The following is a 14,070-nucleotide window of genomic DNA, read 5'->3' as shown; positions in this document are numbered from 1 at the left end:
TGAAAGTACTAGTCATTTACATACTTCTCCTTAAATAAACTTAATACAAATGAGAATCACACAATGTTTGAAGTAGAAAATCATTTTATATTTAAAAGAATGTGGTCAATATGAAATAATTTGGCCTGGATATGTTGGACCCTGTCCTTTTCCATGTCAATAACTTGAATAAAGACTTGGAAAGTAAACATGGCATATGAAATAATATATACATCTGAAGGAGTACCAATGTATTCCATGACCAAGATTTTTAAAGGTCTTAGAATGCTAGGCAGAATTAAACAATTAGTTATACAGTCATATTAACAGTTCAGAAACTGGATTTCATAAATGCAGAATACAGACCCAGACTGTCATGTGAAAAAGGTTCTAGCTGTGACAGCTAGTAGTGTGACAATACTGCTTTATAAAATTTTAATAGAAATCTAATGCACAGATTTGGAGTCATAACAGTTCCACTGAATTTTATGTTTGTCACAGTATGTTTAGAGTATTATGCTCAACTCCAGGCTTCATGAAGACAAACATTAACAAACGACTGAATGCAAAGGAAAAACTGTTCAGTTTATCCATAAGTGAGTAAGTTACATTAAACTAAAACTTATAGCATTACTTTAACAATTTGCCAAATAACCCAAAGAGCTGTGAAATGACGTGTAATTTTGCTAAAGCACAAAATGTAACTAACATGCCATGAGGTATGCATCTAGAAAATAAGCTTGGATATCCCTCACCACTCCTAATGCTGAGACCCCAGGCCCAGAGCTTTGTTTTCTTTTAGGGGATACAATAACTCTTACAAAGAGAAATCTGTTTCTTTCTTGAGGGAGGGGGGCAGGGTGGGGAAGAGCAGTGAAGAGGAGGCCAAATCCTAGTGTAGATCACGGAAGGCGAAAGTGAAGAGGTTTGAATGCTAAATACGGAAATTTGTAAGATCTTAGGACATATGCTTTGTGAATGTTAAGGGGTGACTGTAGTAACCTACTAATCATCAGATGGATCCAAGCAAAAGCAAGGTAAGCCTGTCAGAAATATTATAAAGATAATTCTTGCTTTGAGTAAGAAGTTGAATTGGCCACTTACAAGGTCTCTTCCATTTCTAGTAGTTAAAATGAACTAGTAATTCTAAGGTCAAATATTTTAAGAGTACATTTGCCACTATAATAGTAAAGCTAAGAATACCACCATATGTTGAATTCTTTTACTACAAATAGCAGTTCGGCAAAAACATCCAAAATGGTCATTTTTTAAAAAACAAAGTGTAATATAAATAAATCTGCTGGAGTTCTAATCAGGATAGTGGAAGGGCTCAGGCTGTTCCTGGAAACTGAAACATGTGAATTAAGTTTCCGGAGTAGGATAAAGCCTTAACAATCAGAACAGAAATGTAGCTATCAAATTTTCTGTACTAAAAACTGCTGTCCTTAAAAAGTACAGCTGTTCTGTCTACCGATTACTTAATGAGGTGATTGCCAGGGCATTCTTTTTAACAACTTATGTATTTTAAAATTGTTAAAATTACACAACTGTTTCTCTTAAAACTGTTTTTGTTTAAATTCTAGCTCTAATATTTAGTAGCTAGGTGACCACAGGCAAATTACTTAATCTCAAATTTTTTACTTCCTCACCTGGGTGGGCTATAATATCTACTCCAATACTATTATAAGATTTAATTAACAAAGTGTGTATAAAGCTCTTAGAATAGTGTAAAGCCTGTAACAAAAACTTATTAAGTGGTAATCAATATTTGCAAAACTAATATATTAAAAAGAAAAACCCAAGCATAGATAATTTCTTCTCTTTTTTTTTGAGACAGAGTCTTGCTCTGTTGCCCAGGCTAGAGTGCAGTGGTAGGATCTCCGCCTCCCAGGCTCAAGCAATTCTCCAGCCTCAGCCTCCTGAGTAGCTGGGGTTACAGGCGCCTGCCACCACAACTGACTAATTTTTGTATTTTTAGTAGAGATGGGGTTTCACCATGTTGGCCAGGCTGGTGTCAAATTCCTGACCTCAAGTAATCCACCCACCTTGGCCTCCCAAAGTGCTGGGATTACAGGGTGAGCCATCGCTTCAGGCCCAAAGCATAGATAATTTCTTAGTCAACCTTTATTTATTATTTTCCTTTTCAACAGTTTTACTCTGTCACCCATGCTGGAGTGCAGCAGTGCCATCACTTTGCAACCCTGAACTTGAGCTCAAGTGATCCTCCTACCTCACCCTTCTGAGGAGCTAGGACTACAAGTACATGCCACCCCATCCAGTTAATTGAACTTTGTTTTTTGCAAGGCCAAAGTATGTTGAATGTTATGAGAGTGAAAGAGAAGTACTTGCTCCAAGATGCTCATCTAGCATTATGAATTATGGTTAATCTTTTGGAGGACCAAAGGGTTGCCTTTAAAAGTCAGAATATTAATTTTAAATTTATTAAGTGTAGAGAATTGGTTAACATCCCTCCGTATCATTGGCCCTCTTCTTCTACCACTGAAATATCCAGTCTTAAGACATGTAAACCTATTTCCTTCCTTCTCTTCTTTTATTATTTTATTTTATTTTATTTAAATTCCCCGGCCAGGCGCAGTGGCTCACGCCTTGTAATCCCAGCACTTTGGGAGGGCGAGGCAGGTGGATCATTTGAGGTCAGTTCAGGACCAGCCTGGCCAACACGGTGAAACCCCATCTCTACTAAAAATACAAAGATTAGCCAGGTGTGCTGGTACACACCTGTAATCCCAGCTACTCGGGCTGCTGAGGCAGAAGAATTGCTTGAACCTGGGAGGCAGAGGTTGCAGTGAGCCAAGATCGCACCACTGCCTCCAGCCTGGGCGACAGAGAGAGACTCTGTCTCTAAATAAATAAATAAATAAATAAATAAATAAAATTAAAAAAATTCCCCTACCCTCTTGCTTTTAATAAGAAACAGGGTCACCTTAATGTTGTCCAGGCCGGAGTGCAATGGCTATCCCACTACTGATCAGCATGGGAGTTTTAACCTGCTCTGTTGCCAACCTGGACCAGTTCACCCCTCCTCAGGCAACCTGTTAGTCCCCCACTCCCAGGACACCCTATTGATGCTGAATTTAGTGCAGACACTCAGTCCATATGTAGAACACAGTGCGCTACCCTCCACAACTCCTGGGCTCAAGAGATCCTTCCACCTCAGCCTTCCAAGTAGCTAAGACCACAGGCACATGCCACAACACCCAACTCCTTCTTTTTCTTTCTCCTACTTTCATTCTTTCTATGTTCAAGTTTGTCATAAATATAACAGTATAATCAAAATATTTTTTCTTTCTAATCAGAAAACAAATCATTCAGCATGGGTAGGCCATTCTTGGCTTTTTCCATCCCTCTTTAATAGTTATTTCTTCAAGAGAATTTCCCTGTCTCCAAAATGCCAGAAGACTCTAGTTCTACAGTTGGGAGATGTTTTATCTTTCTACATTCTGTATCCTAGTTGTGGGGGCTACAAAAATCCATACGTACTAAAACTTAAAGAACTGTACACCACAAATCAAATTTCCAAATATAAACTTAAAATTCACCTGTCTAAAGCCTCCTTTGTTTTCAATGTCCTCTGTTTTCAAAATAAAATGCCACTGTTCCATTTTCCTAACCTTCAGAAGTAACTGTGTACCTTCCCTATTGTGCTTCTTCAATTAAGAGCTATAAAATTTATATAGCTTTAATTATAAAACCTAACATTAAAAAGTTACTTATATATAAAACTACCAGCCACATGACCAAAAATCTAAATTTTAATTTAAACCCCAAAATTACAAAGTTTTTGGGTAAGATTAAATTGTGTTAAGTATTGTTTTACTCTTATCACTCTTCTTTGAAATATGATAAACTATGATATTTAATATAGTTTCTTGATTAATAAAAATATTTAATAAGCTACAATACAGATCTTTAAAGTACACTGGATAAATGAGAATTCTGTACTTGCCCAACCACCTAACCCATCTCAGCAAAAAGTTCAAAGCTTTTTGTTCCTTAGTGACCATTTCTCCAATTTCCCAATTGTTTTTGATGTTGTTCTAAATGTATCCTTAATATGTCTCCTTAAGGAGTCTTTCAGAGCATCCATTGCTCTCCATAGGGCCTTTATGTAACTAGGAAAAATACATCCTTCTGGGGAAATACAGACACTTTTGGCAAGGAGCTGATGCCTTGGAGAGAGAAGTGGAGGCACAGTTCCCTCTGCGAGGCCTAAGCTGGGGCACAGGACTCTGTAAGCAGAACACAGGCTGACTTGTTGCTTCCTTCAGTCCAGCATCTTTGGGCAGTATACAAGCTGCATAACCATATATAGCAGCCCTGTACCTTCAGATTGTTCACTGGCAAACAGGGAAGAAAAAATGAATTATTAACTTATCTAGATACCCATTCTCCAACCACATACATGTATCCATCTCTTATCCTTCAGACTCAAGATTTATTCAGAAGGGATCTTCCAACCTTATAGGGAACGTATCTTCCCCTTTATCTTTAATTTTCCCTTTTCGTGGTTCTCTTTTCTGCTTTAAATATGGTCAAGACTCATGTCTTGATATTGTGTAATATCAAAGAATATTAAATTCAGAAGATATATAGAAATACATAAATGTACTCTTTGCAATAGTCCTCTGAGATAGGGGAAATGGATATTATCCTTGTATCACAAATCAATATATTTAAAACTTAAGCCAGGTTAACTTGCCCCAAAATTAACAGCTGGCACAAAGTGACAAAAAGGACTAAACCTAGGTTTTAAAACAATTAGTCTAGAGTCCACTTTGAGTATTCAATATATCTAAAAATCAAGAGATTTTCCCTCTTCCCCCTTTAACCTTCCACTTTTGTAACTTGACCTAGATTATTTTAAGGTCACCAAGGATATCACAGCCAAATCCAAAGACTACTTGTCACATATTTTTCTGAACTCTGCTACATTTAGCTCTAATAATCCTGTTTTTAGATTATCCTCTTCTGCCCTGATTTCTATAGTGACTTCCTTCTTATTTTGTCTTGTTCTTCCCTTGCCATAGACTGTCCTAGACATCCTATTACATTTCTCTATCTAAATAAACCTACTCCTTTGCGGTTTATCATGAAAGTGGTTGTCTCAAGTATGTAGTTAAGACTAATTCATATCTCTATTCCTGTAATGCTGCCATTTCCTATTTTATCAATCTATTCCATTCTAGGCTTTCGACCTTCATTAACTGTACCTGTGGCCTGATCCTATCCAGTATTCATTTCTTATAGCAGTAATGTCCCAAAGGGTGGAATACAAAGACTGGTAGTATACTGGATGATTTTAAGTGATCCACAGAAAATTATGTAAAATCATGTTTATTTTAAAACATGTTGGGGGGAAGCTAATGCCAAATAATCATAAAAATTTCCTTTTAAACGGCAGGATGCAGTGGCTCACGCCTGTAATCCCAGCACTTTGGGAGGCCAAGGTGGGCGGATCACGAGGTCAGGAGTTCGAGACCAGTCTGACAACATGGTGAAACCCCATCTCTACTAAAAATACAAAAATTAGCCAGGCGTGATGGCAGGCACCTGTAATCCCAGCTACTCAGGAAGCTGAGGTAGGAGAATCACTTGAACCCGGGAGGGAGAGGTTGCAGTGAGCCAAGATAGCGCCACTGCACTCCAGCCTGGGCAACGGAGTGAGACTCCATCTAAAAAAAGAAAAAAAAAATTCGTTTAAATTCATTTAATTAAAAGACAGCAAGTTGAATTGAAGAAAAATATTAAGTAACAGGCAGATGGTTTGGGACGAAGCAGAAATTGTGAATGATTTAAGTTTGGAAAATACTGGCCACTAGGAAACCCATGTAGTTGAGTTAGGCACTCAGGCTCTGGATCAATAATTCAAATGCCATTTCTACCACTTAAAAGCTAAGTAACTTTGAGCAAATTACTTAAATCTCTTCCTTTTAGGCTTTCTGCAATATGGATTTAAATAGATCATTCAAAAAATAGTCTTAGTTTAGTAACATGGCATAGTAAGTGCTCAAGAAATATTAATAATCACAATTATTCTTGATTTTTCTTAGACATCACAGCTTCACTTATAATCAACTAGGAACTCAATCTGTACTATCTGTAATTTTCTGTACCAAATTTCCCTTACCTTCTTATACACCTTTTTATCTTCTGGCATGAATCCAAAGACTACAAGATAACTTTTAACATTAATCCTTAAGGCTGTGAACACCTTGGGAGTGGACCAAATGCCATATTGCTCTGATTCACTGGGCCTTACAAAATTAAAAGAATCTTCAATCTTTGTTGAATAAGCTAAAAATTTTAAAAATCAGATGTAAATAAATCTCACAATGCATATTATTTAACACAAACTCTTCGAAGGTTACCTGTGATACTATTCTTAGAGGTAAAGGAAAAAAAACCTGACAGCATTTTCTTTTGCTCCAATAATATACTTATCAGTTAATCTTGTGGGTCTATTCTTTTGTGTTTCTCACCCTCATTCATTCAATAACATATAAACTCTAGGTATACGCCAACCACCATACAAGGTGATGAGGACATGGAAACAGTCTAGTAGAGGAAAACAAACTAGTATTAGAACACAGAAAACAGAAAAATTACCAGATAGTATGTAGTACATATTGCTATGTAGTATGCTACATACATAATACCCAATAGTTTTTTTAATACTAGACGTGCTCCTCAAATGATATTCCATCTTCCCTTAATGTTGAGCACATAGCAGCACCACACAGGGATGAGTATATCACACTGACTATAATTCACATAATAATTTCATTACAATCTTGTGTTCAGACTCTTAGTTAACAGTCTAAGAGTCTAGTTAATCATGTCTGCCAATCAGATAAAAATTTCCGGTTGAAACTAAGTAACAGTCCTTGTTTGACTGGATTTGCCAGCAAATACATGTAGTCACAGGCCCCAAAACATGCTTTCTGATAATCTGGAGGAAAATAAGGACTAGAAATGTAACTGGCAATGCTGGGAGCAATGGTAGGCACTTCTAGTCCCAGCTACCTGGGAGGCTGAGGCAGGAGATTCTCTTGAGCCCAGGAGTTGGAGGCCAGCCAGGGCAACAGAGTTAGGTCTGTCTCTTAAATAGAAAATTTACTAAAGTTACCCTCTCTATAGAACGCTTTTATCCACAAAGGTGTTCTGGCTCATGCATCGATGAGATTAGCGAGGAATTTAAAATGTTATTACTCATAAAACTAACACAGTAACTCTCAGACTTGTAAGCAACAATTAACATAGACTGAGATAAGCTTTCATTGTGTTGTCCTATTCATAAGGTGACAAAATCACGATTTACCGAAATGAAAGTGTGTCATAACTCAGACACAATTTTTGTATGTCCTTCACTGTAAGAATACAATTCTGTACTAACTTATGTAACATTTTACCAATGATCAATTCTTGTCATTTACAAATATGACATAAATAGCATCCAAAACACAAGTTACCTAACTAACAAACTGAAGTAGTGTTTAGGGGTGGCACTTGGAGGCAGACAGGGATATAATATAATCTTCAAAGACATTTTATCACTAAAGAGGGTGGGGTGGGGGTAAGAAGAAGAGAGGGGGCTGGAATGAGCCAGAACTTCTGCATTTTCAGCTATGAACAAGATACTCATCCCAGGGATATTTACTGTAGAGCATAAAGAAATCGCTAAGAAGCAAAATCCTGCATATAAGTAGACATATCAGGGATAAGGGGAGGTGAAATTTTCTTATGTACCTAAAGAAATATATACATCACCCTGAGAATTTACAGATTATTTATTGCTTGGAAGAGAGTATTTTCTTCTACCAATATCCTACCATTCTCCCTCCACTATTAGTTGACCTTTTACTATGCACTAAGCATAGTAATAAGCCCTTTACATACATTATCCATTATCTTTTTTTACTCCTATAAAAGCCTCTGAGGGAAGTCCTATTATCATCACCATTTTACAGATGAGGGAATATTCTACCAATAATATAGATCAGACGCCTAAATTTAAAAATTATATCTACGACATGGTAGAGTTAGTTTTAAGTTATCTCTAAGCACTCAAATAGAAAAGGACACAAAAAAATTAGCCTCTACCCCAAGTCCAAAGTGGATATATTCCATTTTTACAACTTTCAAAACTTTAACCTTAGCATGCAACAATATTCATATACTAGTCAAGCTAAAGAAAAACTACTAGTTAATAATGCTTTATCTTATTTAGTTACTGTAGTTTATAATTTAAAAAGCAGGTTGAAGGTTTAGAGCATCCCCTTTGGGTTCAGACAGTATGGAATTGAACCTACACAATACCACCAATAACTGCTATGTGACCTTGGTCAGACTACTCTCTCAGATTTCATTTCCTCATCTGTAAAATGGGGATGATCTTAATAGCACTTTTCTCAAAGGTCTGTTGTGGAGATTAAAAAAAAAATGTATGAAAAGGACTTATTACTGTGCTCAGTGTATAGCAAAAGGTCACCTAATGGAGAACAGCCACACATAAGCTAAGCAGAGCAAACACAATCACTTAAAAAGGCTATATTCTGAAAATCCACTTACAGAAAAGGAGAGAATTACTATTTGACTACATGCTAAAGACAAAATTCAAGTTCAATTTATTCCTAATTTTTTAGGGGATCAATGCATTTGGGGTGAGCCAGAAAAGATGCTGCAGTGCATCTGTGACACACACCTAAAAATGGCTCCAGTCAAAGCAGCATCTTAATTACCAATATGGGAGGTGAAATCTAGTTTTGAAAAATGGTGGGGTTAGGCTTGGTAGGTGCTTAGTATCACCCTATTATTTTTATTTGCAGGAGTAAGCTATTAAGTACTCAACAATCAAAAAATCCTCCGATTCTTCTGGTGCATTCCAAATGAAAATCTTACAGCAGAGCCGCCTACTGTACAATTCTAAGTACTCTAACGAGGTATGAATCTATGAACCCAGGCTGAAAACCAGCCAATGCGGAAATCCAGGTAGCTTTATAAGCCAGCAAACATCAGGCATGTCAGACCCTCAAAAGATCCCAAATAATGTCAAAACACACATACATCCCTTTAAATTAAAGGTACTCCTCTCATGCAAAGGAAGGAAGACTCTATCAATGTCTCTATAGTGGCCCCATGCCCTTTTCTTCAGTCCTAAAACGGGGCCTTTACCCTGACACCACCAATATCAACGCTATCTCAAAGACAGGGAGCTACCGAGATTCACCACGCAAGTTAGAGGATGGAGCGGCCTAGAGTGTGAAAAGACTACCCAAATCCTCCTCCGGAGTTGGGCAGCACTTCCCTAGCGGAAGTAGGGTTGGTCTTGATTCCCCGAAGAGCCTCTCATCTAACCAGGTCTTTAAACCAGACCCTCCCATACATTGCTCATTGCAAGTCCCACCCTCACTACACAGGAAGAGGTAGACAGTGAAAGCCCCGGCTGAGTCCTTCAGTTGTTTGGGGAAACGCATACCCGACACTAAAAAAAAAAAAAAAAAAAAAAGACTTCACGTCCGCCAGTCCAGGAAGACGGAAACCCCCTTCGCTTACCCGGCAACATGCGTAATCCCCTCGCAGGGCCAGGACTGGGGTCTAGGTGGGAGCAAGACAGACCGGTCCAGAACTCCCGCTGCAGACCACATGGGGCGGGTCTGACTCCGGTTTCCCGCTCCCCAAGCTGGAGGCCGACTTCCCCAGACACAGAGATGATGGTAACCAAACAGAAGGGAAATGCCCGGACCCAAGGCCCTCTCCACGCGGCCCCCTAGCCTCCGGGCGCCAGGGTCTGGGTGCGCTCCCACGCCCCAGGCCGCACTCTGGCCGTTCCCGATGGGGCCCTCTTTGATCGCGGCCCCCACACCCTCGCTTTCCTTACCGGTCAGGGTGAGTGTCAAGTTTGCGCACTTCGAGGGTCTCCGCCGATCTCTGATCGAAAGAAGGGGGAGGGAAAGCTGGGGTTAAAGGGGTGGCCGGAAGGGCCACCAGACTGGAAAAGCCGAAGCTGCGGATGGACAAACCGCCAAAGCACTTTCGCAGCTTTCCGAGGGGGAGCGAGCGAGCGAGAAAAAGAAGCAAGATGGCGGCTAGCCAGCCCCTACGTACTACGTCATGACGCTAAGTACGTAGGTCAAATCTCCGCAAGACCACACTCCTGCGCAGAGACGGCCGGATCACGTGAAGCCTCCGTGGCGGCCCAACCCCGACAGAGGGTGCTGGCGCTTCCTGCTGGACGGAGGGAGTTTCTGCAATCAGAATTATCTTTTCAGGACAAAGCTTGGACCTGAGACCTTTCTAAGAAGTCTTGAATTGACCACGTTTACAAGTTGATAATAAGCCTCAGTGAAATGAGCACTCTTATGTCTGGTGGGTGGATGTGTAAATGGTTGAACCAGCAGTTCGCCAGTATGTCTCAGTGAATTTGGGGCAAGCTGAGAAGTCTTGGTGTATTGAAAAGTTATCACAGAGAGTGAAAGTAAAACTAGTGTGAGGAACAGAGTAGCATGGGCTGCTGAGAGCACTTTTTAAGTTTCTAATTATGGATGTGAGATAAGCCATTCAGTTTATTTATATGATCTCTCCATCACAGTGTTCAGCTCCGTTGAATAGTAAGATTCACCCATGCTGGCTTTTACTAGGCAAGTGTAACATAGGCAGATGAGTGTATCTGGAAGTGGGAGACTACAATGATGATAATATTATGTCAGAACAGATGGCGAATGTTTAGTAAATGGTATCTTTTGTCCTCTTTGTGAACTACCTATGACATATTTAAAATTCAAGGATTTCTTACCACTTCTGGTCTGAACGATCTTCCCCGCCAGTAGCTGGTGTATGTCCATGGAATTGTCACTGTAGCAATGTTAGAATAAATGAAATAATAAAGAGAGGTAAATTATGAACACCTCCCTCCCCACTAATATTAATTTGAAGTAGAAAAGTCTGGACTTGCTTGGTGGCTCATGCCTGTAATACTAATACTTTGGTAGGTCAAGGCAAAAGGATTGCTTGAGACCAGGAGTTCAAGACCAATCTGGGCAACATAGTGAGACCCTACCTCTGCAAAAAAATTAAAAAGAAAAAAAGCTAGCTAGGCATAGTGGCACATGCTTATAGTCCTAGCTACCTGGGAGGCTGGAGGCAAAAGGATCACTTGAGCACAGGAGGTTGAGGCTGCAGCGAGACTCTTTCTCGAAAAAATAGAAAAGAAGAAAAGAAAAAGTTTTTTTATTGATATAGGGTCATTGCCAGGGGAAAGCCTACTGATCATCCACAAGAGGACAAGGAAGCATTACTTTAGTGAATTTCTACAACCTTCTAGGATCTGGTCTATAGTGTCCTGGTCACAGAAACATCTTTCTTTGTTTTTTTGGAGGCAGGGTCTCACTTTGCTGCCCAGGCTGGAGTGTAGTGGCATAATCACAGGTCACTGAAGCCTCAACCTCCCAGGCTCAAGCAATCCACCTGTCTCAGCCTCCCAGGTAGGTGGGACTACAGGTGCTTGCCACAAAACCTGGCTTTTTTTTTTTTTTTTTTTTTTTTTTGCCAGTAGAGACGAGGTCTTGCTATGTTGACTGGGCTGGTTTCGAACTCCTGAGCTCAAGCAAGCCTCCCGCATTGGCCTCCCAAAGTGCCGGAATTACCGGCATGAGCCACCACGCCCAGCCAAATCATCTGTCTTGAGCAATGGAGAACAACTTCAGCAATCAGATGAAATTACATTAACCAAGGTCATAAGACTGACACGTATGGCCGGGCGCGGTGGCTCACGCCTGTAATCCCAGCACTTTGGGAGGCCGAGGCGGGCGGATCACAAGGTCAGGAGATCGAGACCATCCTGGCTAACACGGTGAAACCCAGTCTCTACTAAAAAATACAAAAAAAAATTAGCCGGGCGTGGTGGCGGGCGCCTGTAGTCCCAGCTACTCAGGAGGCTGAAGCAGGAGAATGGCGTGAACCCAGGAGGCGGAGCTTGCAGTGAGCACAGATCCTGCCACTGCACTCCAGCCTGGGCAACAGAGCGAGAGAGCGAGACTCTGTCTCAAAAAAAAAAAAAAAAAAAAAAAGACATGTATTAAATTATTAATTTCTAAGAGCTTTAATTTATACACCTGAACACTCAACAACTGCAAAGCCAATACTTTTTTTTTCTTTTTTTCTTTTAATTTTTGCCAGAAACAGAAAGCCTCCGGTATGCCAGCATGGACCCAAGGTGCTATCTTTTCTTGAGTACATTTTCTCATTTCCCTCCCCTCCCCTCCCCTCCCTCCCTCCTTCTCCCCTCCCCTCCCTCCCTCCCTCCCTTCCCCTCCCCTCCCTCCCTCCCTTCCTTCCTTCCTTGCCTGCCTGCCTTTTCTTCCTTCCTTCCTTCCTTCTTTCTTTTTTTTTTTCCCCATGGAGTCTCACTCTGTTGTCCAGGTGGCGTAATCTCAGCTTACTGCAACCTTCACCTCCCAGGTTCGAGCGGTTCTCCTGCCTCAGCCTCCCGAGTAGTTGGGATTACACAAAGGCGCCACCACGCCCAGCTAATTTTTGTATTTTTGGTTGAGATGGGGTTTCGCCATGTTGGCCAGGCTGGTCTCAAACTCCTGACCGCATGTGATTCGCCTGCCTCAGCCTCCCAACGTGCTGGGATTACAGGTGTGAGCCACTGTGCCTGGCCCCGCTGAGTGCATTTTCTGTGTAGCCAAACCTACTCAGGAAACCAAGGCATTATCAGAAGGTTGCTTGATGAGCACATATTCTGAACAAGTGGAGTTATATGTATAGACTTTTCTTGAGTCATCTATCTTCACAACAGGAGAATTTTGTCCCGAAAATAGAAGTTCTCAATTTCCAATGGCTGCAGTTGCCCGCATTGATCTCCAATATAGTGGTGACATCCTGCTGAGCTGCTGATTTGTGCTCCTTGTCTCCTTAGCAGCACTTGGATGGCCACTGACCCTAAAGTGCCCCCTGTACGTTACTTTCTCTGTTTCCATGGCTACCCAAACCTCTTTGCAATATTATTTCAATAAAAATCAAGTTACAGTTAAATCAAACCAGTTTGTGTTTTAAAGGTGACTTTGCTTATTTCTGCTCCTAGCTATGTATGTGATCTTAAAGTCTAACTTTTAGAGAGCAGTCTTACTGCCTTTGTTTCCAATTTATTGGGGAAAATGTGACTGAAGTCTCCTTGACTTGGATTGCACTTCTCCTGACACTCCACCATTGTAGACAAATTTGTTATAACAAAAATGTCTTCATGACAGATTGAATGAAAACTTTTCATTTAATTTACAACACTTCTATTTAAACAATAATTTTAGAATAACATTATCAAATTTCCAATTGGGTGGTGTGGAATCAGGCAAACTAGTTTCTTACTGAAAACAAATTCACTCTCCAAACAATATGACGTATTTTCTTTGTGATTGTCCAGCCTTATTTGCTAATGATTTAATGAGTTTCTACCCTTCTCATTGTGATTGATTCCATAATCCTGTAGGCACTGAAATTTTACGGTAGAGTAGTTAAAAACAAAATGATCAGTGAAAGTATCATACTTTATTAGCAGTAATGTTCCTTTTTTCTCTCTTCTTTGTTTAAAAATTTTAAATTTTCACATCAGATGGGTAATGGACCACGTCATAACAAGGTTTGAGGTTGGCGCATCTCATAGATTCATGTGAACACTGAATCATCACACTTATGAACTACAAAAGGATCAGCAGTTGTGTTTCTTAAGTGTTTAGGTGCATTTGACAATTTTGTTTTCTTTTTATGAATGATCCAGCAAATCATATTTAGTTAAAAACTATGAAACATGATAAGCCTGGTGTAAAGAAAACCAGAATACCCAAATACTGCATGAAAATGTAATCCCGGTTTATAAACATCAACAGATGTTGTACATTTGCTAATAAAGATAAGAAAAATGTTGATAGTTCTTCAACAAATCACCTTTGCGGGGGGTCCAGAAAAAACAAAAACTAAGAAAAAAATGGGCCAAGCATGGAGGCTCACACCTGTAATCCCAGCACTTTGGGAGGCCGAGGCGGGCAGATCACCTGAGGTCAGGAGATCGAGACA

At 40.1% G+C, this 14,070-nt stretch overlaps 1 protein-coding gene, 1 non-coding gene and 1 pseudogene across 19 annotated transcripts in view, besides 3 other annotated features; all 3 read right to left on the bottom strand.

Annotated features, from left to right (window-relative positions):
- Positions 1–10,083, bottom strand: part of PRRC2C (proline rich coiled-coil 2C) — a 107,982-nt gene extending 97,899 nt beyond the window's left edge. For all 18 annotated transcript variants that reach the window (XM_005245020.3, XM_005245015.3, XM_005245025.3 and 15 more), the window contains exon 1: positions 9,878–10,083. The gene's annotated coding sequence lies outside the window, so the exon portion shown is untranslated. The remainder of the gene's footprint in view (positions 1–9,877) is intronic.
- On the bottom strand, positions 2,909–3,202 carry RN7SL425P (RNA, 7SL, cytoplasmic 425, pseudogene; annotated as a pseudogene).
- Positions 9,530–10,278: an enhancer, noted in NCBI's record as "NANOG-H3K27ac-H3K4me1 hESC enhancer chr1:171454474-171455222 (GRCh37/hg19 assembly coordinates)". NCBI's record gives its function as "activates a minimal SCP1, AML or CMV promoter by ChIP-STARR-seq in naive H9 embryonic stem cells {active_cell/tissue: H9 hESC(naive)}" and the evidence as "EXISTENCE:reporter gene assay evidence [ECO:0000049][PMID:30033119]".
- Positions 9,530–10,494: a biological region, named in NCBI's record as "NANOG-H3K27ac-H3K4me1 hESC enhancer GRCh37_chr1:171454474-171455222".
- Positions 10,185–10,494: an enhancer, noted in NCBI's record as "active region_2085". NCBI's record gives its function as "activates an Ori minimal core promoter by ATAC-STARR-seq in GM12878 lymphoblastoid cells {active_cell/tissue: GM12878}" and the evidence as "EXISTENCE:reporter gene assay evidence [ECO:0000049][PMID:35858748]".
- LOC124904828 (small nucleolar RNA U13) lies at positions 13,604–13,706 on the bottom strand. The gene has a single exon (XR_007067424.1). It is a non-coding gene; the product is annotated as a small nucleolar RNA U13 (small nucleolar RNA).
- Positions 13,707–14,070: the final 364 nt, after the last annotated feature.

The sequence above is a fragment of the Homo sapiens genome, chromosome 1, assembly GCF_000001405.40.
Source record: "Homo sapiens chromosome 1, GRCh38.p14 Primary Assembly".
In the NCBI taxonomy this organism is placed as follows: Eukaryota; Metazoa; Chordata; class Mammalia; order Primates; family Hominidae; genus Homo; species Homo sapiens.
This window is presented reverse-complemented; position numbering and strand designations above follow the sequence as displayed.